At 37.8% G+C, this 27,568-nt stretch overlaps 1 protein-coding gene across 23 annotated transcripts in view; it reads left to right on the forward strand.

Moving 5' to 3' along the window:
- The window catches only part of SPAG16 (sperm associated antigen 16), a 1,126,038-nt gene that overhangs the window by 47,933 nt on the left and 1,050,537 nt on the right, over positions 1–27,568 (forward strand). For 22 of the 23 annotated variants that reach the window (NR_047659.2, NR_047660.2, XM_011511814.2 and 19 more), the window contains 2 exons: positions 7,767–7,874; positions 18,132–18,249. Coding sequence is in view for 21 of the 23 variants with exons in the window: in XM_011511814.2 (XP_011510116.1) it covers positions 7,767–7,874; positions 18,132–18,249 (226 nt within the window). In the remaining 2 variants the exon portion in view is untranslated. Of the gene's footprint in view, positions 1–7,766; positions 7,875–11,323; positions 11,502–18,131; positions 18,250–27,568 lie in introns of those variants that run through there. The other variant, XM_017004898.1, reaches the window with a different exon arrangement.

The raw sequence follows: 27,568 nt of genomic DNA on the forward strand, positions 1-27,568 counted from the left end.
AAGTCTCCCAGTAAAGAAAATAACAGGACCTGATGGCTTCACTGCTTAATCGTGCCAAGCATTTAAAGAACTAACACCAGTGTTACTCAAACAATTCCGAAAAATACAGGAAGAGGGAATCTTTTCCAAACTCATTTACAAGACCCATATTACCCTGATACCCAAACCAAAGACACATCTAAAAATAAAACCACAGGCCAGTATCTCTGATGTTGATTCAAAAATCAACAAAAATACCAGCCAGCGGAATTCAACAATATATTAAAAAGATAATTCATCATGACCAAGTGGGAATTATTCCAGGGATGCAAGGATGATTCAACATATGCAAGTTAATCAGTGTGATACATTACATCAAAAGAATGAACAACAAAAACCATATGTTCATTTCAATTCATGCTGAGAAAAATTTAATACAATTCAACATCCCTTTATGATAAAAACTCTCAAAAAATTTGGTATGGAAGGAACATACCTGAACACAATAAACACTATATTTGTCATGCCACCGTGTCATACTGAATAGGGAAAACTTAAAATCCTTTCCTCTAAGATCTGAAACATGAAAAGGATGCCCATTGTCACCACTATTATTCAATGTAGTAGTGGAAGTCCAAGCAATCAGACAAGAGAAGGAAATAAATGGCATATAATTGGAAAGGAAAAAGTCAAATTATCCTTGTTTGCAGATGATATGATCTTATATTTGGAAAAACCTAAAGTATCCACCAAAAAAATGATGAGAACTGATAAATTCAGCAAGGTTTCAAGGTACAACATCAACATACAAAAATCAGTAGCATTTCTGTATACTAACAGTGAATAATCTGAAAAAGAAATTAGAAAGTAATCCAACTTACAATAGCCATGGATAAAATTAGATAGGAAGTAACAAGCAAATAAATGAAATATCTCTACAATGAAAACTATAAAACACTGATGAAAGAAATTGAAGAGGACACAGCAACATGGAAAGACATTACATGTTTATGGGTTCTAAGAATCAATATTGTTAAAATGTCCATACTACCCTAAGCAACCTACAAATTCAGTGTGACCCCTATCAAAATACCCATGAGATTCTTCACAGAAATAGAAAATACAATCCTAAAATTTATGTAGAATCACAAAAGATCCAGAATAGGCAAAGCTATCCTAAGCAAAGAGAACAAAACCGGAGGAATCACATTACCTGACTTCAAATTATACTACAGAAATATAGTAACCAAAACAACATGGTACTGACATAAAACCAAACACATAGACCAATGGAACAGAATAGAGAACCAGAAACAAAACCACATACCTACAGTGAACACATTTTTGACATAAGTGCCAAGAACATACACTGTGGAAAAGGCAGTCTCTTCAATAAATGGTGCTGGGAAAACTGGATATCTATATGAAGAAGAATCAAACTGGAATACTATGTCTCATCATGTGCAAAAATCAAATCAAAATGAAATTCCTAAGAGAAAACTAAAAGAAACTCTCAATGACATTGGTCTAGGCAGAAATTTCTTGAGTAATACCCTACAAGCACAGGCATCCAAAGAAAATAATGGACAAATGGCATCACATCAAGTTAAAAAGCTTCTGCATAGAAAAGGGAATAATCAACAAAGTGAAGAGACAAACCCATAGAATGGGAGAAAATATTTGCAAACGACTCATCTGATAAGATTAATAACCAGAATATATAAGAAACTCTATAGGAAAAAAGTCTAATACTCCAATTAAAAAAATGGACAAAAAATTTGAACAGACTTTTCTCTAAAGACATACAAATGGCAAACAGGTATATGAGAAGGTGTTCAACATCATTGATCATCAGGCAAATATCAGTCAAAACTATGATGAGCTGTCATCTCACCCCAGTTAAAATGGCTTTTATCCAAAAGACAGGTAATAATGCTGGCGAGGATATGGAGAAAAGGGAACCCTTGTACGCTGTTGGTGGGATTGTAAATTAGTACAACCACTGTGAAGAACAGTTCGCAGTTCCTCAAAAATCTAAAAATAGATCTACCATATGATCCAGCAATCTTACTGCTGGGTGTATATACCCAAAAGAAAGGAAATCAGTATATCAAAGAGATATCTGCACTCCCATGTTTGTTGCAGCACTGTTCACAATAGCCAGGATTTGAAAGCAACCTAAGTGTCTATCAGCAGATGAATGGATAAAGGAAATGTAGTACATATATGTAATGGAGAACTGTTCAACCGTAAAAATGAATGAGATTCTGTCATTTGCAACATGGTGGAACTGAAGGTCGTTATGTTAAGTGAAATAACCCAGGCATGGAAAGACAAATTTCACATGTTCTCATTTATCTGTGGAATCTAGAAATCAAAACAATTGAACTAATGGAGATAGAGAGTAGAAGGATGGTTGCCAGAGACTGGGAAGGGTAGTGTGTGTGTGTGGGTGAGCCAGGGATGGTTAATGGGTACAGAAAAAATTAGAATGAATAAGACCTAGTATTTGTTAGCACAATAGGGTCACTGTAGTCATAACTTAATTGTACATTTAAAAATAACCGAAAGTAAAATTCGATTTTTTGTAACAGGATAAATGCTTGAGGGGATGGATGCTCTATTTTCCATGATTATTACACATGCATGCCTGTTTCAAAATATCTCATATACTCCATGAATATATACATCTACTATGTACCCACAAAAATTTTAAAAAGTAATAATTAAAAATTATATTTTCATTTAGCAATATAGATAAATGGTTAAAACTAGAAGTTTGTAATATTTTGGAAGAGATGAAAGCATGCAAATAACAAGACAATTCAAAAAGGTTGTCACAAACATAATGAACTGTTCCCAAAGAATCTCATAATGAACTTGAGAAAATTACATCCCTATCTACAATCTAAAAATTGGAAGATGGACATGTATTCCTATTTTAAATACAGGCTTTATTGTTGTTGAAATGCAAAACTGTCCTAAATTGCACTATCTTTTTTGTTAAAGTGAGTATATGTAACTGTTACACTAAAAAATACACTATATATATTTAAAGGAAAATAACCATTAATTTTTGTTTTTACAACAGAGACATCTTGACCAGAAGCAATACAATAACAAATTAGAAAAGATAAAAAGCACTTCATTCAATATCAGTATCTATATTATTTCTCAATTTATGTTGTCAGCTTATGTTATTTGTCAAATTATATTCTTGATATACGCAAATGGGTTAAAATCAGAAAAGAATAAATTGTTTATCTAATCATTCATATATTCCTCAGATGATTTTTCAAGACTGAATGTTCGAATCAATAATTTCTTGCACGTATAAGATTGTTGGCATGAAAATGAGGTTGAGGTTTAGGTGGAGAAAGTTCACCATGAGTATTGTGAGTCACCTGAACATTGTTTATTTACGTGTAATGAAAACTACAAAATTGGCAGTAAAATAACAGTAGAGGTCATTTTTAAAAAAATAGGGTGTGCTGGGAGGTGGGGAGAAAGAAACTTAGGGGGTGAGAGTAGCCAAGTTTACCAAATAGAAACAGCTCCACTCTGTGGCTCCCACCAAGAAGGATGAAAACAGCCAGTGAATTCTGAATCTTCAGTTGAGGTACCAAGCTTTTCTCATTGGGACTGACTAGGTGGTTGGCGCAACCCAGGGAGAGCAAAGAAGAGCATCGAGGGCCCACCCAAGAGCTGTGTGGGCAAAGGAAGCTTTCTCCCCCAGCCAAAGGAGGCGGTGAGGGATTGTGCTACCCCTCCCTGAAAACCTTGCTTTTGTCATGGATCCTTGCAACCTGCGGATCAGGAGTTCCCCTTGCGAGCCCACGCCACCAGGGCCTTGGGTCCCAAGCACAGAACTGTAAAGACATGGCAGCTGCTTGGGTGGCTGGCCATTTCAGCAGGCACCAAGACACAGTATTTGCATACTCCAGCTCTGGGAACTCCCATGAGGCAGGATATCTGTCCACTCCTGTGGGAAGGGGGCTGAAGCCAGGGGGCCAAGTGGCCTCACTTCCACAGAACCCCACAAGCTAAAACACACTGGCTTGGAATCCCTGCCAGCCAACGCAGCAGGTCAGAGACTGCCTAGGAAGACTTAATTCCGAGGGCAGGAGGGTTGGCCACCATCACTGCGGCTCCAGTTGGCCATTGTCCCCTGCTGTAGGTGCCAGTGAGACTGGGTGGTCTGGACTAGGAGCAATTCCCCACAGCGCAGCACAGCAGCTGTGTCAGTTCATGGCTAGACTGCTTCCTTAAGTAGAACACTGATCCATTTTTTCTCACTGGGTGAGGCCTCTCTGTGGGAATTTCAGCATCCCTAGACAGGAGTTTATGAACAGAACTTTGATATCCCTGAGAGGAGCCACTAGGAGGGGCAGCTACGGTATCATGGATCAGTGGTCTTTGTCTTTTCTGCCTGCTGGCTCTGGAGAGTCAGGGGAGCCCAGATGAGGGTGCAGCACACCCGCTCCACCAAGGGGCAGCCAGACTGCTTATTTAAGCAGGTGCCTGATCCCACTCCTGCTGACTAGGTGAGACCTCCCAACAGGAGTCCACAGATAACTCATATGGGAGAATTCCAACTGGCATCAGGTTGGTGCCCCTCTGGGACACAGCTTCCAGAGGAAGGAGCTGGCTTCCATCTGTGCTGGTCTGTAGCCTCTGCTGGTGATACCTCCAGGGGTGGGAGGGACCCAGGCAAATAGGGTCTAGAGTGGACCTCCAGCAAACTGCAACATCCCTGTAGAAGAGGGGGCCTGACTGCTAAAAGAAAAACAGAAAACAACAACAACATCAATGAAAAGGACCCCACAAAAACCCATCCAAAGGTCAGCAACCTCAAAGATCAAAGGTAGATAAACTCATGACGATGAGAAAGAATCAACACAAAAATCCTGAAAACTCAAAAAGCCAGAGTGCCTCTTCTCCTCCAAATGATTGCAACATGTCTCCAGCAAAGGCACAGAACTGGGCTGAGGCTGAGATGGATGAATTGACAGAAGTAGGCTTCAGAAGATGGGTAATAATGAACTTCACTGAGCTAAAGAATTATGTTCTAACTCATTGCAAAGAAGCTAAGAACCATGATAAAACATTACAGGAGCTGTTTACCAACATAACTAGTATAGAGAGGAATATAAATTACCTGATCAAGCTGAGAAACACAACACGAGAACTTCACAGTGCAATAACAAGCATCAATAGCCAAAGAGACGAAGCAGAAGAAAGGGTATCAGAGCTTGAAGACTATCTTGCTGAAATAAGACAGGCAGACAAGAGGAGAGAAAAAAAGAATGAAAAGGAATGAAAAAAACCTCTGAGAACTGTGTGATTATGTTAAAAAACCAAACCTATGACTGATAGGAGTATCTGAAAGAGACGGAGAGAATGGAACCAAGTTGGAAAACACACTTCAGGATATCATCCAGAATTTCCTCAACCTAGCAAGACAGGCCAGTGTTCAAATTCAGGAAACCCAGACAACCCTAGTAAGATACTACATGAGAAGATCAAGCAAAAGACACATAATCATCAGATTCTCCAGGGCTGAAATAAAGGAAAAAATGTTAAGGGCAGCCAGAGAGAAAGTCCAGGTCACCTATAAAGGGAAGCCCATCAGACTAACAGTGGATCTCTGCAGAAACCCTACAAGCCAGAAGATAGTGGGGGCCAATATTCGACACTCTTAAAAGAATTTCCAACCTAGAGTTTCATATCTGGTCAAACTCAGCTTCATAAGTGAAGGAGAAATAAAATCTTTTTCAGACAAGCAAATGCTGAGGGAATTCATCACCACCAGGCCTGCCTTGCAAGCACTCCTGAAGGAAGCACTAAATATGGAAGGGAAAAACCATTACCAGCCACTACAAAAACACACTGAAGTACACAGACCAGTGACAATATGAGGCAACTACGCAAACAAGTCTACAAAATAACCAGCTAGCATCATAGTGACAGGATCAAATTGATACATAAAATATTAACCTTAAATGTAAATGGACTAAATGCCCCAATTAAAAGATGCAGAGTGGCAAGCTGGATAGAGGCAAGATTCATTGGTGTGCTGTATTCAAGAGACCTATCTCACATGCAAAGACACACATAGACTTAATCCCATTACTGGGTATATACCCAAAGGAATATAAATCATTCTGTTACAAAGACACATGCATGTGTATGTTCATTGCAGCACTATTTACGATCACAAAGACATGGAATCAACCCAGATGCCCATCAATGATAGACTGGATAAAGAAAATGTGGCACATATACACCATGAAATACTATGCAGCCATAAAAAGGAATGGGACCATGTCCTTTGTAGCGACATGGATGGAGTTGGAAGCCATTATCCTCAGCAAACTAATGCAGTAACAGAAAACCAAACACTGCATGTTCTCACTTATAAGTGGGAGCTGAACAATCAAAACACATGGACACAGGAAAGGGAACCACACACACTGGCGCCTGTCAGGGGGTGGAGTATGTGGTTGGGGGAGGTGGAGCATTAGGAAAAATAGCGAACGTATGCTGCGCTTAATAGCTAGGTGATGGGTTGATAGGTGCAGTAAACCACCGTGGCACATGTTTACCTATGTAACAAACCTTCACAACTTGCACCTGTGCCCCAGAACTTAAAAAAAAAAAAAAGAAAAGAAGAAAGAAACTTGGAAGAATGGATCAGAGACCTTGCACCATATGCCTCATGTAATTTGATCTTCATCAAGAAGTCGTTAATCAACATATGCTTCATTGAGAGCCTTACTTTATCTCATAAACATCTTTGGTAGCATCCCATACGCTGATCCTCAGTGATTGACTTCTGACACCGCTTAAAGCAGAAATCTGTTCGTGTGCATTTATTTTATGTGAATCAAAATTTTGAAATAATTGTGACCCAGAGAAGTAGATTTCTTCTGTTTCAATCCTAATATGAGGTATCAGTCCATTTTTCAGAATGGAAATGTGACAGTGTCAATGCTGTAGCACTTTGTCAGTTATCTGAGGCTGAGAACTACTTTTTCATTATAAATTATATTTCACATTATTGTATTGAAACTAATATATTATGGAGGTAAGTGAAACATTCTCATTAAATGTTCACATAGAACCTGGGATTAGAAAGAATCCTTTAGCTTGCTTTATGCCAGAGGTTTGCAGAAGATATATCAAGTTGAAAAATTTTTCTGTATTACAGCACTGATATTGAAGACCATTCTCATCAAGCTATGAATTATGTAGTAATCAGATCCACTGATGATATATATTTATTTTATACCATGAAATCTTGGTTTTCTAGAATTTATATGCTTTCTTTTCCCAATTATCAGAACTGAATAATCTAGTATATTCTCTTTAACTTTACATTCTAGGAAGTTCAGAGTTAAATTCCATAAAGTCTTTATTTTTAATAATTTTGAATTGTCATGTTTCATATATTTCAATTTTCCAAGCCAAAAAGGTTCTCTTTGGAAATAGATGGTTTATACTTTGGACATGTTCTGGCAGCATACCTTTAATTTTCATTTACTTAGATGAAATGTAGATGAATCATATTTTTGGAACTACAGGTTTTGCCCTTTCATCCTTCACCCCCATACCTAATATGACCTTATACAAATTATGTTTGATGAGAATCTTCGATGAGAATTATAGCAAAATATTTGTTTTCCTATTATCTTTTGAATGGCACAATACTGGATTTGAACTCAAGACTAAATAATTTTTCGAAAAAGAATTAGCAGTGATTTATAAAGTTACTATTTTTTTTTCAGCAAAGCTAGAGAAGATTTGCTGAAAATTCAGAAAGAACGTGATTTTCATCGAATGCATCATAAGCGAATAGTCCAGGAAAAAAACAAATTAATTAATGACCTCAAAGGGTAAGCTTATACTTGTTGGCATATTTATTAAAGAGTTATTTAATACATGTTAAGTAATTTGATTATGACAAAGTTTTAGACAAAGTTATTAATTCCACGGTTATTGAGCATAAGATGAGTAAGTTGCGACCCTTGCTGTCAAGGGTCTCAGAAAATACTTGTGTGTGTGAAGTGGGAGGAGTTAAGCAGAAATATACTGAAATACACTGCATTGTTGCTATGCCACCCAAGAGGGCCATCATCCCAATACGACTGGAGTGTGAGAGGGCTCAAGGATTTATTTCCACAGGAATTAAATTCTCAAGTATGAGTAAGAGTAGACAGTGAGGAAGTGGGGTCCGCACAGTGCTCTTTGCAGATAGTACATCCTCTGCAAATGCACCAAGACATGAAAAAACATGTTACGTTCATCAAATTGTGTACATAGAGAGTAAAGTGCAGCTGTGGTATTGCAGGGATAGGGGACATATCTCTAAATGACTATGAATTTGTAAGTCTTTTAGAAATTATTTTGAAGGCATTATTGAGATTTACTTTCTCTCCTTCTTTACCTTCCTCCCCTACAAAAACAAGAAAATAAATTTACAATCCTTAAATAAAATTATATTTTGCTTGCTCTAAGGCAGTGCTATCCAACAGAACTTTTTGTGATGATATAAATACTCTGTATCTGTACTGTCCAATACAATAGCCCCTAACCATTTATATTTAAAAATATACCATACTTGTTCAAATTCCTAATATGTTTAAAGAATACTTTTCACATAAAATTCATCATTTTAGATTACATGTTTTTTTCGTATTTCATTATTTCAGGCACCCTGGTAAAGAAGCACACATTACTTTGTAATACAGCTACACTTGGTGTATACTCAGATAGCCTTTATTTCTTCATTTAATCATTAAGAAAAACATCTCCATTTAACAATCTGGATGAATCACTAAAGCTCATTTTATAAAGACCTAAAACAAAACTTCAATGATGCCATCAAGTCACAAAACTGGGTATCAAGTTAATCAGTCAAACACAGTGAATACTTTGCCCGATAGCTGCGCGATTGCATAATAAATCAGCTATAGGACAGAGTGTTTTGATGCCAGGCAAAGTTGGGGTCTGAAATCTCTTATGTCACATTTTACCCAAATACATTAATAGTGTATCCATATTTCCTTTCATTGTAAACCATTAAATGTTTACCTTATTTTTCTGTAAATTTTTCAACTAGTTTGATAATAAATTTTACAGTATTTCTTTGTTTGTTGTTTTGTTTTGCTTTTTAGAGTCAGACTCTCATTCTGTCGCCCATTTTAGAATGCAGTGGTGAGATTAAGGCATCCTGTAGCCCCAACTCCTGGGTTCAAGCAGTCCTTCCGCCTCAGCCTTCTGAGTAGCTGGGTCTACAGGTGCATGCCACCATACCCAGCTAAATTTTTTTGTTTTAATTTTTTTGTAGTGATGGGGGTCTCACTTTGTTGATCAGGTTGGTTTTGAACTCCTGGGCACCAGTGATCCTCTCAGATCGGCCTCCCAAAGTGTTGGAATTACAGGCATGAGTGACCAAGCCTGGCCAGTATTTCCCATTTAACACAAGTATCTTATTATGAACGTGCTTATTTTCAGAATTATCTATAGCTAATATTAGAACTTGCAAACAGATGAATTATGAAGTACTTATGGACTTTATAAAATAGACACACCCTTTAAAATAGATTAAACAGAGTTTTTCTAGATGTTGTTTCCTTGTTATATTCCAGTGAAATTCTATGTGTTGTTAATTCTTTTAACAGAAGATAGTCAAGCCATATCTCATGAATGAGTTAAATTCCAAAGTTAGTAAAAAAAGGGAAATTTTGCCATCAATATTTTCTTTAAAATTCTTCAACCATCCACAGATTACAGTATATATAGTTTTGTGTATACAATTCTATATCTGTGTGTTGTATGTATTTATGAATATGTAATGTTTATGGAGATTATAGTATGCAGCAAAGTGTATATATATTACATACATATGTATATATATATGACATATGTGTATATATATGTTACATATATGTGTATATATATATTACATATATGTATATATATATTACATATATATGTATTATATATATATATAAACACACACTAAGCTAATCAGAAAGGAGGATAGAACTGTACATACTACCTAAATTTTTATTTTTGTTACTTTTTCTGAGTGTCATATTAATACACATTAAATGTATATATAATGCAACTGCACTTTAATACTTAATTTCTATTGCTATCATCAATGAGGTATAATGTGATATCCAAATTAATGACGTTTATAAATACTGCTATGAAAATATAGAAAATAAAAAGCTCTGTTTTAATTATTAATGGAATAAAATATTATTCTTTTGGAGGACTTTTGGGGAATTTCTGCTTTGGGCTATGTCATTGTAAATAGTATAGAATTAGCTCTCCAACTGGTACTGGACTAGCTCCCCAAATGTAAGGAACTACATGACTGGACAAAATACATGAGGCAGTTTTTTTTTTAAGATGGTGGAAAATTGGCAAAGCAGGACCGTGATGCCTAAGAGAAGACAAACACAAAATGAGCAGGATGATCAACCCACATATCTTCCTGAAGGTACTTTTCAGCCCACAGTTTGACCAGATATAACCCAAGCAGAGCATGGTGGCTTTCAGAGCTGAGGAGGCAGAGATCAGAGTTCAGGGCTGCAGAGGTAGCTGGAACTTGCAGCATGGTGTACACAGAAGGAAGGAGGTACATGAAATGTAGCTTAAGAAATATCTGTAATGGTTCTCTTCAGTCTTTGGCCACGTAACTAACTTGTGGAAGTATAGGATGAGAGAACATGAAGCCTGGCAGGAAACAGCACCTGGGAAACTCTGAGCAAAATAGAGATTCCAGAGGTTGCACAGTGCTGGGAGATGCAGGAGTTCTGACCAGCCATAAGGGAAGTAACCTCACTGAATACTCTGAGCATTTACTTAATATCCTCCACAAGCCATGCCACAGAAGCAGACCTAGTTGGTCCTAGACAAAGTGTTGCTTTAGAATTTTTCTCCAAAAAGCTTAAAGGTAAGCTTTGAAAAACTCGAGCTGATTCACTGGGAAATTAACTGTCTGTCAGAAAATAACTCTTTAAAGGAAGAAAACAAAATTCAGACAAGTGTATGTCCAACATACAATAAATAAATAAAGTTTATACGTATTGATTTATCTATAGATATATCTAGAAGCAGGAAGACATGTCCTATAATCAGGAAAAAGCAGAACCAGACACAGAGAAAAGAAAATTACAGAATTAGCAGGCAGGGACTTTACAACAGTTATTATGAAATGCTTAGAGTTTTAAAGAAAATGGTGACTGTAAGGAGTGATAAACAGAATTAAACTGAAATTTGAGAACTGAAAAAAACATAATATGCAAATGAAAAATTTACTAATAGGTCTTAGAAGATTGGACATTGCCAATGGAAAGATCAATGAACATGAAGACAGGAAGATGGAAAATGATCCAACTGGTGCACAAAGAGAAAAAAGCTGAAAAGAAATGAGCAGGGACTCAAAGAAAAAAGACTGAAAAAACATAAATAGAACCTCTGGAGCAATATTAAATAGTCCATCATAGGTGTGTATTTGAAATCCAAGAAGAGGCTGGGCATAACCTTCCCTATTCTGCTAGCTTATTCCAATTGTTAAGTATACAAATTCAAATTATTTACTCAGGAAGACTGGAGTTGATCACTGGGTGCTTACATGAACCAAATATGCTGTGAGCAGACTTTAGCCAGGACTGTACTTATTTTCTGTTCCCCTGTAGACTCCCATTCTAACAGAGGGGTCATGATTCTGCTTTAGGTTTCTGAATTTGAATGACCACTTCTTAAAATATCTTTCCCCAGTACATAGTCACTCAATTAAATAGCCAGGGGTAATTTGCAGAAAAATTGAGGCTATTTATAACAGTATATAATTGCTATGGTGTTACGGAGTGCTTCCTCTACTGTCTGCCAGGGTAGCTCCAGCATTTCCACTTCACAGCGTTGGCTATCTTTTTCCAAGTTTTGAAGGACCACCCTAGAAGTGAATCAACCTTATTCACTGGAGTTTTTTTCTTTTTTTTTTGTATTTTAAGTTTTAGGGTACATGTGCACAGCGTGCAGGTTTGTTACATATGTATACATGTGCCATGTTGGTGTGCTGCACCCATTAACTCATCAGTTAACATTAGGTATATCTCCTAATGCTATCCCTCTCCACTTCCCACACCCCACAACAGGCCCCGGTATGTGATGTTCCCCTTCCTGTGTCCATGTGTTCTCATTGTTCAGTTCCCACCTATGAGTGAGAACATGCGGTGTTTGGTTTTTTGTCCTTGCAATAGTTTGCTGAGAATGATGGTTTCCAGCTTCATCCATGTCCCTACAAAGGACATGAACTCATCATTTTTTATGGCTGCATAGTATTCCATGGTGTATATGTGCCACATTTTCTTAATCCAGTCTATCATTGTTGGACATTTGGGTTGGTTCCAAGTCTTTGCTATTGTGAATAGTGCCGCAATAAACATAACGTGTGCATGTGTATTTATAGCAGCATGATTTATAATCCTTTGGGTATATACCCAGTAATGGGATCGCTGGGTCAAATGGTATTTCTAGTTCAAGATCCCTGAGGAATCACCACACTGACTTCCACAATGGTTGAACTAGTTTACAGTCCCATCAACAGTGTAAAAGTGTTCCTATTTCTCCACATCCTCTCCAGCACCTGTTGTTTCCTGACTTTTTAATGATTGCCATTCTAACTGGTGTGAGATGGTATCTCATTGTGGTTTTGATTTGCATTTCTCTGATGGCCAGTGTGATGAGCATTTTTTCATGTGTCTGTTGGCTGCATAAATGTCTTCTTTTGAGAAGTGTCTGTTCATATCCTTCGCCCACTTGTTGATGGGGTTGTTTGTTTTTTTCTTGTAAATTGGTTTGAGTTCTTTGTAGATTCTGGATATTAGCCCTTTGTCAGATGAGTAGATTGCAAAAATTTTCTCCCATTCTGTAGGTTGCCTGTTCACTCTGACGGTAGTTTCTTTTGCTGTGCAGAAGCTCTTCAGTTTAATTAGATCCCATTTGTCAATTTTGGCTTTTGTTGCCATTGCTTTTGGTGTTTTAGACATGAAGTCCTTGCCCATGCCTATGTCCTGAATGGTATTGCCTAGGTTTTCTTCTAGGGTTTTTATGGTTTTAGGTCTAACATTTAAGTCTTTAATCCATCTTGAATTAATTTTTGTATAAGGTGTGAGGAAGGGATCCAGTTTCAGCTTTCTACATATGGCTAGCCAGTTTTCCCAGCACCACTTATTAAATAGGGAATCCTTTCCCCATTGCTTGTTTTTGTCAGGTTTGTCAAAGATCAGATAGTTGTAGATGTGTGGCATTATTTCTGAGGGCTCTGTTCTGTTCCATTGGTCTATATCTCTGTTTTGGTACCAGTACCGTGCTGTTTTGGTTACTGTAGCCTTGTAGTGTAGTTTGAAGTCAGGTAGCGTGATGCTTCCAGCTTTGTTCTTTTTGCTTAGGATTGACTTAGCAATGCAGGCTCTTTTTTGGATCCATATGAACTTTAAAGTAGTTTTTTCCAGTTCTGTGAAGAAAGTCATGGGTAGCCTGATAGGGATGGCATTGAATCTATAAATTACCTTGGGCAGTATGGCCATTTTCACGATATTGATTCTTCCTACCCATGAGCATGGAATGTTCTTCCATTTGTTTGTATCCTCTTTTATTTCCTTGAGCAGTGGTTTTTAGTTCTCCTTGAAGAGGTCCTTCACATCCCTTGTAAGTTGGATTCCTAGGTATTTTATTCTCTTTGAAGCAATTGTGAATGGGAGTTCACTCATGATTTGGCTCTCTGTTTGTCTGTTATTGGTGTATAAGAATGCTTGTGATTTTTGCACATTGATTTTGTATCCTGAGACCTTGCTGAAGTTGCCTATCAGCTTAAGGAGATTTTGGGCTGAGACAGTGGGGTTTTCTAGATATACAATCATGTCATCTGCAAGCAGGGACAATTTGACTTCCTCTTTTCCTAATTGAATACGCTTTATTTCCTTCTCCTGCCTGATTGCCCTGGCCAGAACTTCCAACACCGTGCTGAATAGGAGTGATGAGGCAGGACATCCCTGTCTTGTGCCAGTTTTCAAAGGGAATGCTTCCAGTTTTTGCCCATTCAGTATGATATTGGCTGTGGGTTTGTCATAGATAGCTCTTATTATTTTGAGATACGTCCCATCAATACCTCATTTATTGAGAGTTTTTAGCATGAAGGTTGTTCAATTTTGTCAAAGGCCTTTTCTGCTCTAATGAGATAATCCTATGTTTTTTGTCATTGGCTCTGTTTATATGCTGGATTATGTTTATTGATTTGCATATGTTGAACCAGCCTTGCATCCCAGGGATGAAGCCCACTTGATCATGATGGATAAGCTTTTTGATGTGCTGCTGGATTCGGTTTGCCAGTATTTTATTGAGGATTTTTGCATCGATGTTCATCAGGGATATTGGTCTAAAATTCTCTTTTTTTTTTTGTTGTGTCTCTGCCAGGCTTTGGTATCAGGATGATGCTGGCCTCATAAAATGAGTTAGGAAGGTATTCCTTCTTTTTCTATTGATTGGAATAGTTTTAGAAGGAATGGTACCAGCTCCTCCTTGTACCTCTGGTAGAATTCGGCTGTGAATCCTTCTGGTCCTGGACTTTTTTTGGTTGGTAAGCTATTAATTATTGCCTCAATTTCAGAGCCTGCAATTGGTCTATTCAGAGATTCAACTTCTTCCTGGTTTAGTCTTGGGAGGGTGTATATGTCGAGGAATTTATCCATTTCTTCTAGATTTTCTAGTTTATTTGCATAGAGGTGTTTATAGTATTCTCTGATGGTAGTTTGTATTTCTGTGGGATCGGTGGTGATATCCCCTTTATCATTTTTTATTGTGTCTATTTGATTCTTCTCTCTTTTCTTCTTTATTAGTCTTGCTAGTGGTCTCTCAATTTTGTTGATCTTTTCAAAAAATCAGCTCCTGGATTCATTGATATTTTGAAGGGTTTTTTGTGTCTCTATTTCCTTCAGTTCTGCTCTGATCTTAGTTATTTCTTGCCTTCTGCCAGCTTTTGAATGTGTTTGCTCTTGCTTCTCTTGTTCTTTTAATTGTGATGTTAGGGTGTCAATTTTAGATCTTTCCTGCTTTCTCTTGTGGGCATTTAGTGCTATAAATTTTCCTCTACACACTGCTTTAAATGTGTCCCAGAGATTCTGGTATGTTGTATCTTTGTTCTCATTGGTTTCAAAGAACATCTTTATTTCTGCCTTCATTTCGTTATGTACCCAGTAGTCATTCAGGAGCAGGTTGTTCAGTTTCCATGTAGTTGAGCGGTTTTCAGTGAGTTTCTTAATCCTGAGTTCTAGTTTGACTGCACTGTGGTCTGAGAGATAGTTTGTTATAATTTCTGTTCTTTTACATTTGATGAGGAGTGCTTTACTTCCAACTGTGTGGTCAGTTTTGGAATAAGTACGGTGTGGTGCTGAAAAGATTGTATATTCTGTTGATTTGGGGTGGAGAGTTCTGTAGATGTCTATTAGGTCTGCTTGGTGTGGAGCTGAGTTCAATTCCTGGATATCCTTGTTAACTTTCTGTCTCGTTGATCTGTCTAATGTTGACAGTGGGGTGTTAAAATCTCCCATTATGATTGTGTGGGAGTCTAAGTCTTTTTGTAGGTCTCTAAGGACTTGCTTTAAGAATCTGGGTGCTCCTGTATTAGGTGCACATATATTTAGGATAGTTAGCTCTTGTCAAATTGATCCCTTTACCATTATGTAATGGCCTTCTTTGTCTCTTCTGATCTTTGTTGGTTTAAAGTCTGTTTTATCAGAGACTAGGATTGCAACCCCTGCTTTTTTTTGTTTTGCTTGGTAGATCTTCCTCCATCCCTTGATTTTGAGCCTATGTGTGTCTCTGCATGTGAGATGGGTTTCCTGAATGCAACACAATGATGGGTCTTGACTCCTTATCCAGTTTGCCAGTCTGTGTCTTTTAACGGGAGCATTTAGCCCATTTACATTTAAGGTTAATATTCTTATGTGTGAATTTGATCCTGTCATTGTGATGTTAGCTGGTTATTTTGCTCATTAGTTGATGCAGTTTCTTCCTAGCCTCGATGGTCTTTACAAGTTGGCATGTTTTTGCAGTGGCTGTTACCGGTTGTTCCTTTCCATGTTTAGTGCTTCCTTCAGGAGCTCTTTTAGGGCAGGCCTGGTGGTGACAAAATCTCTCAGCATTTGCTTGTCTGTAAAGGATTTTATTTCTCCTTCACTTATGAAGGTTAGTTTGGCTGGATATGAAATTCTGGGTTGAAAATTCTTTTCTTTCAGAATGTTGAATATTGGCCCCCACTCTCTTCTGGCTGGTAGAGTTTCTGCCAGGAGATCAGCTGTTAGTCTGATGGGCTTCCCTTTGTGACTAACCCGACCTTTCTCTCTGGCTGCCCTTAACATTTTTTCCTTCATTTCAACTTTGGTGAATCTGACAATTATGTGTCCTGGAGTTGCTCTTCTTGAGGAGTATCTTTGTGGCATTCTCTGTATTTCCTTCTACTTTGCTCTTTCCAGTGCACATGGAATTGTCACTAAAATAGATCGTATACTGAGCCATAAAACAAGTCTCTATACATTTCAAAGGATGGATGTCATACATAGAATATTTTCTGACCACAACCAAATTAAATTAGAAATCAATTTTTAAAAATCTCAGGGGATTTCTCAAATATTTGGAAATTAAGTAGTATACTTTAAATAATCCATGAGGCAAAGAAGAAAATTACAGAATATTTTGCGCTGAATGATTAAAAATGCAGCATATTGAAATGCAGCCAATGCGGCTTAAATTGAAATTGATGGCTTTAAATGCTTATTTTAGAAAATAAAGTTTTAAAACCAATGATGTCATCTTAGAAGCTTAAAAAGAGCAAATTACAACCAAGAAACATGAAGAAATGAAAAATAAGAGCTGAAATCAATAAAATAGCAAATGGACAAACAAAAAATCAACAAAGTCAGATGTTGGTTAATGGAAAATGTAATAAAACTGACAAATTTGATAATAAGATGGATAAACTCTTAATAGACTGATATCACCAGAGGCTGGCAATAATGTAGGGTACCCAGGACTGTCATATAGGGTTGTTGGAAGTATAAATTATAACCCAGCAATTAAACTCCTGGGTGTTTATCTAAAATAAATGAAGATATATGACCAAAAATATTACATGACTTATATAAAAATGTTTAAAGAGGCCTTATTCATGATAGCCCAAACTAAAATCCACTCAAGTTTTCATCAGCAAAATATTGGATAACCACATTGTGGAATATACATACATACAAGGGAATACTACTCACAGTAAAAAGGAGTGAAGTATTGCTATGTAAAGTAATGTGGAATAATCTAAAGAAACATTACACTGAGTGAAATAAACTAGTTAAAAAAGAGAACATGTTATATGATACCAAATAAATGAAGTTCTAGAATTTTCTGGGGTGTTAGACATGCTTCATATTTTGATAATGTATACTACTTGGGTGTGCATTTCTCAAAACTCTGAACTGTAACGCTTAAGAGCTGTATGTTTTATCCATGTAAATTACACTTCAATAAAAAGATTTTGAGGTCATTTTCAAATAAAACAGATTTTTTAAAGGTATATTATATACTAGGCTGAATTATTCCTTCTGTTTAGATATCAAAATGTTTTTATACTTAATTTTTAAAATACAAGATTAGCCAAACTTGTTTTAAAGACTATCCTTTAGTTTATTTTGATGTGAATGACACTCCATGTTTAATCATCTATTGTTTGTGGCCCTTGTCTTTCTGATAGTTATTTCCAAATTGACAAAAGGAATTGCATTTTAAAAAATTTCATGGGTAGCAGCAATCTTCTGAGTACATACTTGGACACAGCAAAAGGTGCTAGTAGGAAATAGAGAACTAGTTAAGACGTGATTTGCTCCCTCACTGCACCCTCCACCCTCAAGTTGCAGTGAAGTTGTATGCTTTTTGTGCTTCTTGGCTGTAGTGTGTTAACCTTTATATGATTATTCATTTTTATTTCACAGCAAAAAAGAAAAAGAAAAAAAGGTTTTGATGTTAGATGGAAATTACTGATTTAACTCAATAACCCCTTAAGATGCTATTGACTTTATTTTTTATAGGTTGAAGTTACATTATGCATCTTATGAACCGACTATAAGGGTGTTACATGAGAAACACCACACTTTACTGAAGGAGAAAATGCTGACCTCCTTGGAAAGAGACAAAGTAGTTGGGCAGGTAAAGATATAGTCAAAGCTAACTTAAAATGATCTTTTAATCATTTTTTTAATAATACAAGTAGAAATACTGATTTTGTTTCTGAGATTAATTTTAAAACATTTTCAACCAACTTTCATGTAAAAGAGATCCATTTGGAAACATTCAGAAAAAGTATTTCTCCATTTAACTACCTATAAAGATTATTATAAAATTAGGCCAGGGGCAGTGGCTCATGCCTGTAATCCCAGCACTTTGGGAGACCAAGGTAGGTGGATCATTTGCGGCCAGGAGTTTGAGACCAGCCTGGCCAATATGGTGAAAACCTGTCTCTACTAAAAATACAAAAAAAAAAAAACAAAAAACAAATAGCCGGGTGTGGTGGCACAGGCCTGTAATCCCTGCTACGTGGGAGGCTGAGGCATGAGAATCATTTGAACCCGGGAGTGGAGGTTGCAGTGAGCCGAGATGGCCCCATACCACTGCACTCTAGCCTAGGCAACAGAGTGAGACAGTGTCTCAAAAAAATTAAATTAAATATCATTTAATTGAGACATAAATTTATAGCAGATTATTAAATTATAGTTAGAAGAAAAAACTTAGCCATTGTGGTCAAACTTGGGTTTAAATGCCAGCTTTGACAGCTATAAACATTAACCTTAGGAGAGTCATTTAAACAAATTGGAGCTCAGATTTCTCATATATAAAATGTAGCTGCAAAGACCAAAGACATACCATTTAAGATTGCTGTGAAACTTATATGAGATATTTTAATAAATAAAAACTCCCTCATAGGTACTGACTCAAGTTTTTGGTTATTTTTGCTAATGCTTGACATCCTTTTAGGGTTTTTGTGTAGGCTTAGGCCTAGGGTAGTGGGTGAGATACCTTTGGCATAAAAATTTAAGAAAAAGAAACAAAATGTTTATATGCCACTTTAAAACCATTTATCAGTTTTTTTAGAATATATAAAACTGCAACTATGCTTAACATTCTATTATTGTTTTCTGGAGATTTTCATTTTTGGCCAAACTTTGAGAAGCTACAAAAGCTTACATGATGATAATACTCTTTTGAATAATTTTATTTGTCAAGACATGCTTTAATCAAGTTTATTTTGTCTTTTGAGTGAAATTCTTAGCTTCGAAAATGCAAAACATCATTGTCTTGATGCCCCTTGTGCTTGAATTTAATTTTGTGTTTTGAATGTTTGAATTTTAAGTAATATTGGATACAATGATAATATGATTTGGCTGTGTCCCCATCCAAATCTCACCTTGAATTGTAATCATCCCCACGTGTCAAGGGCGGGACCAGGTGGAGGTAACTGAATCATGGGGGTGGTTTCTCCCATGCTATTCTCATGATAATTGAGTGAGTCTCAAGAGATCTGGTGGTTGTATAAGCGTCTGGCATTTCTTTTGCTTGCACTCACTCTCTTTCCTGCCACCCTCTGAAGAGGTTTCTACCATGGTTGTAAATTTCATGAGGACTCCCCAGCCATGTGGAACTTGAGCCAATTAAACCTCTAGTCTTTTTTTTTTTTTAATATATTTTTACCCTAAAACCTCTATTCTTTATAAAATACCCAGTCTCGGGTATTTCCTCATAGTGGTGTGAGAATGAACTAATACAAATGAGTTTAACAATAATTTAAATTTTATGGCATTATAATCAAACCTTCAGAATTTCATACCCTTGCTTCTTTTCATCTAATCTGTCTTCCCCAGTCTCCTAACAAAAGGCTTTCTTTATTCTATATCCTGAGGTATTAGGAGCTAGATTCAGATCTCTTCCTATTTCCTATTCCAGATGGGCCAAGCTTAAGCTTTTGCTACCCATCTTACTCTCTTTAGTCCTCCTGGTCTCATGCTTATCTCCCATATACCATGTACAATATTTGTGTTTCAAGTTGCTCCTTGATGGTTTAGTGGAAAGAGCTAAGAACTGGGAATGGCTGGTATGAATTCCAGTTGTGTTGTAAAACACCCAAGTGAGGATTCAGGTTATTTAAATATTTCTTTTTACTCACTTATTAAATAGGGATAAATTATTTGCCTTATGATTGATATGTGTACAAGATTAAAACATGTTTAAAAAGTTAAAATCATTTGATCTATGAGTTAGAGTTGAATTTTGCACACTACTGTTCAGATGTGCAAAGAAATATATCTTTATTATCTGCAACTGGTTTTGTCTTTGAACTCCTACTCCTGCTGAAGACAAAAGAAAAGATAACCTGCATATTAAAGACTATCCCAATCTTTGTGAGTTAAACCAGTCTCTTTGGGTTTAACACAGGGTGTTTGAATATTATATTAACTGAATGTTTAGCTAAAACATAGTTATTAGTGCTCATTTTCTTCCTTCAAATGGCATGCCCTTTTTATTCTTCCCCAGATGGTTCCTAGTAAAAAAGTTACTTGTCTATCCGTATAGCTTAAAGTCTACAGGCTATATTCACTCTCCAGTGTACTGTGACTTGTTTGATTAGGTTGGTGTCCAGGTACATGAAACCTGGATAGTTCTGGATAGCTCCTGGATAGTTCCTGGGTAGTTCTTTTGTATGTGAACCCAACACACCTTGCTAAATCCATGGCCTCTGCCACAATATCTGTGAACTCCTTTATATCTGTGGCCTCATTATCCTAACCCTAGCTTTTTTTCTGCTCCAGTACATCAAATATTAACATTTCCATGTACCCCACTGAGGTGGTTGAGGCTTCTGATTTCTCTATATTGGAAATACAAGCCATGAGCAATTTGAAAACCAGTTAGGGTCCATCTACACAGATATACCTTTTTCAGTCCATTTTCAACATGACCTGGAGAGTAGTGTGTTTTTCTAGCACAATGTAAAATATGAAGGACTCTTTAAGGGGTTGTCAATTTTCCTAGGCTATTGCCTGAAAAGCTAACAGCAAGTATACTTATATTCCTGGAGTATCCCTAGAGTATCTGGCTTTATTTGCCCTTCATTTCCAACTGGCCCCACTTGCATTTTTCACTTGGTAGATAAAGTAGGACTCATGTCTGACCTGTTGTTACCTCGTCCCTCAGGCATCTCGTCCCTCAGGCACAGAACTCTTTTCACTTCTTTGTTCTATTGGATGGAATATCTTCCTATCTTCTTTCATGTTACAGGATGCTCTATGTCCTCATTTGTTACAGCAATCCTGATTTACACCTATTTGCACAGGGGAATTTTTAATAAATTCCACTTTCACCCTAAAAATATCCCAATTTAGAAAATCTTTATTAATGGGAAAATTCTATTTTTTTATACTTTAAGTTCTAGGGTACATGTGCACAACGTACAGGTTTGTTACATAGGTTTACAAGTGCCATGTTGGTTTGCTACACCCATCGTCATTTACATTAGGTATTTCTCTTAATGCTATCCCTGTCCCAGCCCCACACCCCATGATAGGCCCTGGTGTGTGACGCTCCCTGCCCTGTGTCCATGTGTTCTCATTGTTCGTTTCCCACCTATGAGTGAGAACATGCGGTGTTTGGTTTTCTGTACCTGTGATAGTTTGCTGAGAATGATGGTTTCCAGCTTCATCCATGTTCATGTCAAAGGACATGAACTCATCCTTTTTTATGGCAGCATAGTATTCCATGATGTATATGTGCCACACTTTCTTAATCCAGTCTATCATTGATGGACATTTGGGTTGGTTCCAAGTCCTTGCTATTGTGAACGGTGCCGCAATAAACATACATGTGCATGTATCTTTATCGTAGCATCATTTATAATAATTTGGGTATATACCCCGTAATGGGATTGCTGGGTCAAATGGTATTTCTGGTTCTAGATCCTTGAGGAATCACCACACTGTCTTCCACAGTGGTTGAACTAATTTACACTCCCACCAACAGTGTAAAATCATTCCTATTTCTCCACATCCTCTCCAGCATCTGTTGTTTCCTGACTTTTTAATGATCGCCATTGCAACTGGTATGAGATGGTATCTCATTGTGGTTTTTATTTGCATTTCTCTGATGACCAATGATGATGAGCATTTTTTCACGTTTCTGTTGGCTGCATAAATGTCTTCTTTTGAGAAGTATCTGTTCATATACTTTGTTTTTTTCTTGTAAATTTGTTGAAGTTATTTGTAGATTCTGAATATTAGCTCTTTGTCAGATGGGTAGATGGCAAAAATTTTCTCCCATTGTGTAGGTTACCTGTTCACTCTGATGGTAGTTTCTTTTGCTGTGCAGAAGCTCTTTAGTTTAGTTAGATCCCATTTGTCAATTTTTGCTTTTGTTGCCATTGCTTTTGGTGTTTTAGTCACAAAGTCTTTGCCCATGCCTATGTCCTAAATGGTATTGCCTAGGTTCTGTTCTAGGGTTTTTATGGTTTTAGGCCTTACATTTAAGTATTTAATCCATCGTGAATTAATTTTTGTATAAGGTGTAAAGAAGGGATCCAGTTTCAGTTTTCTGCATATGGCTAGCCAGTTTTCCCAGCACCATTTATCAAATAGGGAATCCTTTCCCCATTTCTTGTTTTTGTCAGGTTTGTCAAAGATCAGATGGTTGTAGATGTGTGGTGTTATTTCTGAGGCCTCTGTTCTGTTCCACTGGTCTATATATCTGTTTTGGTACTGGTACCATGCTATTTTGGTTATTGTAGCCTTGTAGTATAGTTTGAAGTCAGGTAGCCTGATGCTTCCAGCTTTGTTCTTTTTGCTTAGGATTGTCTTGGCTATGCAGGCTCTTTTTTGGTTCCATATGAACTTTAAAGTAGTTTTCTCTAACTCTGTGAAGAAAGTCATTGGTAGCTTGATGGGGAAGGCATTGAATCTATAAATTACCTTGGGCAGTATGGCCATTTTCAAGATATTGATTGTTCCTATCCGTGAGCATGGAATGTTCTTCCATTTGTTTGTGTCCTCTTTTATTTCATTGAGCAGTGGTTTTTAGTTCTCCTTGAAGACGTCCTTTACATCCCTTGTAAGTTGGATTCCTAGGTATTTTATTCTCTTTGAAGCAATTGTGAATGGGATTTCACTCATGATTTGGCCCTCTGTTTGTCTGTTATTGGTGTATAGGAATGCTTGTGATTGTTGCACATTGATTTTGTATCCTGAGATTTTGCTGAAGTTGCTTATCAGCTTAAGGAGATTTTGGGCTGAGATGATGGGGTTTTCTAAACATACAATCATGTCATCTGCACGCAGGGACAATTTGACTCCCTCTTTTTCTAATCGAATCCCCTTTATTTCTTTCTCTTGCCTGATTGCCCTGGCCAGAACTGCCAACTTCCAACTATGTTGAATTGGAGTGGTGAGAGAGGGCATCGTTGTCTTGTGCCAGTTTTCAAAGGGAATGCTTCCAGTTTTTGCCCATTCAGTATGATATTGGCTGTGGGTTTGTCATAAATAGCTCTTATTATTTTGAGGTATTTTCGATCAATACCTAGTTTATTGAGAGATTTTAGCATGAAGTGATGTTGAATTTTGTCAAAGGCCTTTTCTGGTGGATAAGCTTTTTGATGTGCTGCTGGATTCGGTTTGCCAGTATTTTAATGAGGATTTTCATCGATGTTCATCAGGGATATTGGTCTAAAATTCTCTTTTTTTGTTGTGTCTCTGCCAGGCTTTGGTATCAGGATGATGCTGGCCTCATAAAATGAGTTAGGGAGGATTCCCTCTTTCTCTATTGATTGGAATAGTTTCAGAAGGAATGGTACCAGCTCCTCTTTGTACCTCTGGCAGAATTTGGCTGTGAATCTGTCTGATCTTGGACTTTATTTGGTTGGTAGGTTATTAATTATTGCCGCAATTTCAGAGCCTGTGATTGGTCAATTCAGAGATTCAACTTCTTCCTAGTTTATTCTTGTGAGAGAGTGTGTGTCCAGGAATTTATCCATTTATTCTAAATTTTCTAGTTTATTTGCATAGAGGTGTTTATAGTATTCTCTGATGGTAGTTTGTATTTCTATGGGATCGGTGGGGATATCCCCTTTATCATTTTTTTATTGCATCTATTTGATTCTTCTCTCCTTTCTTCTTTATTAGTCTTGTTAGTGGTCTGTCAATATTGTTGATCTTTCAAAAAGCCAGCTCCTGGCTACTTTGATTTTTTGAAGGGTGTTTTTGTGTCCCTGTCTCCTTCAGTTCTGTTCTGATCTTAGTTATTTCTTGCCTTCTGCTAGCTTTTGAATGTGTTTGTTCTTGCTTCTCTAGTTCTTTTTATTGTGATGTTAGGGTGTTGATTTTAGATCTTTCCTGCTTTCTCTTGCGGGTATTTAGTGCTCTAAATTTTCCTCTACACACTGCTTTAAATGTGTCCCAGAGATTCTGGTATGTTGTGTCTTTGTTCTCATTGATTTCAAAGAACGTCTTTATTTCTGCCTTAATTTCGTTATGTACCCAGTAGTCATTCAGGAGCAGGTTCTTCAGTTTCCATGTAGTTGTGTGGTTTTGAGTGAGTTTCTTAATCCTGAGTTCCAATTTGATTGCACTGTGGTCTGTGGTCTGAGAGACAGTTTGTTGTGATTTGTATTCTTTTACATTTGCTGAGGAGTGCTTTACTTCCAATTATATGGTCAATTTTAGAATAAGCGCGATATGGTGCCAAGCAGAATGTATATTCTTTTGATTTGGGGTAGAGAGTTCTGTAGATGTCTGTTAGGTCTGCTTGGTGAAGAGCTGAGTTGAAGTCCTGGATATCCTTGTTAACCTTCTGTCTCGTTGATCTGTCTAATATTGACAGTAGGGTGTTAAAGTCTCCCATTATTATTGTGTGGGAGTCTAAGTCTCTTTATAGGTCTCTAAGGACTTCCTTTATGAATATGGGTTCTCTTGCTTTGGGTGCATATATATTTAGGATAGTTGGCTCTTCTTGTTGAATTGATCCCTTTACCATTATGTAATGGCCTTCTTTGTCTCTTTTGATATTTGTTGGTTTTAAAGTCGTTTTATCAGAGACTAGGATTGCAACCCCTGCTTTTTTTTGCTTTCCATTTGCTTGGTAGCTCTTCCTTCATCCCTTTATTTTGAGCCTATGTGTGTCTCTGCACATGAGATGGGTCTCCTGAATACAGCACACTGATGGGTCTTGACTGTTAATCCAGTTTGCCAGTCTGTGTCTTTTAATTGGGGCATTTAGCCCATTTACATTTAAGGTTAATATTGTTATGTGTGAATTCAATCCTGTCATTATGATGTTCGCTGGTTATTTTGCCCATTAATTGATGCAGTTTCTTCATAGCATTGATGGTCTTTACAATTTGGCATGTTTTTGCAGTGGCTGGTACTGGTTGTTCCTTTCCATGTTTAGTGCTTCCTTCAGGAGCTCTTGTAAGGCAGGCCTGGTAGTAACAAAACCCCTTAGCATTTGCTTGTCTGTGAAGGATTTTATTTCTCCTTCACTTATGAAACTTAGTTTGGCTAGATATGAAATTCTGGGTTGAAAATTCTTTCCTTTAAGAGTGTCGAATATTGGCCCCCACTCTCTTCTGGCTTGTAGGGTTTCTGCCGAGAGATCTGCTGTTAGTCTGATGAGCTTCCCCTTTTATGTAACCTGCCCTCTCTCTCTGGCGGCCCTTAACATTTTTTCCTTCATTTCAACCTTGGTGAATCTGACGATTATGTGTCTTAGGGTTACTCTTCTTGGGGAGTACCTTTATGGTGTTCTCTGTATTTCCTGAATTTGAATGTTGGCCTGCCTTGCTAGGTTGGGGAAGTTCTCCTGGATAATATCCTGAAGAGTGTTTTCTAACTTGGTTCCATTCTCCCCATCACTTTCAGGTACACCAATCAAATGTAGATTTGGTCTTTTCACATAGTGCCATATTTCTTGGAGGCTTTGTTCATTTCTTTTTACTCTTTTTCTCTAATCTTGTCTTCTCACTTTATTTCATTAAGTCGATCTTCAATCACTGATATCCTTTCTTCCACTTGATTGAATTGGTTACTGAAGCTTGTGCATGCATCACAACGTTTTCGTGCTGTGGTTTTCAGCTCCATCAGGTCATTTAAGGTCTTCTCTGTACTGTTTATTATAGTTAGCCATTCATCTAACCTTTTTTCAAGGTTTTTAGCTTCCTTGCGATGGGTTAGACCACGCTCCTTTAGCTTGGAGAAGTTTGTTATTACCGACCTTCTGAAGCCTACTTTTGTCAACTCATCAAAGTCATTCTCCATCCAGTTTTGTTCCATTGCTGGTGAGGAGTTGTGATCCTTTGGAGGAGAAGAGGCACTCTGGTTTTTAGAATTTTCCACTTTTCTGCTCTTGTTTCTCTCCATCTTTGTGGTTTTATCTACCTTTGGTGTTTGATGTTAGTGACCTTCAGATGGGGTTTTGATGTGGGTGTCCTTTTTTTGAAGTTTATGCTATTTCTGTTTGTTAGTTTTCCTTCTAACAGTCAGGCCCCTTAGCTGCAGGTCTGTTGGGGTTTGCTGGAGGTCCACTCCAGACCCTGTTTGCCTCGCTATCACCAGCAGAGGCTGTAGAACAGCAAATATTGCAGAGCAGCAAATATTGCTGCCTGATCCTTCTTCTAGAAGCTTTGTCCCAGAGGGGCACCTGCCTATATGAGGTATCAGTCGGCCCCTACTGGGAGGTGTCTCCCAGTCAGGCTGCATGGGGATCAGGGACCCACTTGAGGAGGCAGTCCATCCATTCTCAGAGCTCGAATGCCATGCTGGGAGAACCACTGCTTTCTTCAGAGCTGTCAGACATGGGGTTTAAGTCTGCAGAAGTTTCTGCTGCCTTTTGTTCAGCTATGCCCTGCCCACAGAGATGGAGTCTATAGAGGCAGTAGGCCTTGCTGAGCTGCGGTGGGCTCCTCCAGTTTGAGCTTCCCAGCTGCTTTGTTTACCTACTGAAGCCTCAGCAATGGCAGACGCCCCTCCTCCCACCAGGCTGCAGCCTCGCAGGTCAATCTCAGACTACAGTGCTAGCAGTGAGCAAGGCTCTGTGGGCGTCGGACCTGCTGAGCCAGGCACGGGAGAAAATCTCCTGGTCTGCCAGTTGCTAAGACCATGGGAAAAGTGCAGTATTTGGACAGAAGTGCCTCGTTTTTCCAGGTACAGTCTGTTATGGCTTCCCTTGGCTAGGAAAGGCAAATCCCCCAACCCCTTGCACTCCTGGGTGAGGCAACGCCCTGCCCTGCTTCAGCTTGCCCTCCGTGGGCTGCACCCACTGTCCAACCACTCCCAATGGGATGAACCAGCACCTCAGTTGGAAATGCAGAAATCTGTCTTCTGTGTTGATCACACTGGGAGCTGCAGACGGGAGCTGTTCCTATTCAGCCATCTTGGAAACGACCTTAATTTGAAAATTCTAAAGAGCTAATTTCTTGATATCTAATATGGAACAGTTA

This window comes from Homo sapiens, chromosome 2, assembly GCF_000001405.40.
Source record: "Homo sapiens chromosome 2, GRCh38.p14 Primary Assembly".
Classification (NCBI taxonomy): domain Eukaryota; kingdom Metazoa; phylum Chordata; class Mammalia; order Primates; family Hominidae; genus Homo; species Homo sapiens.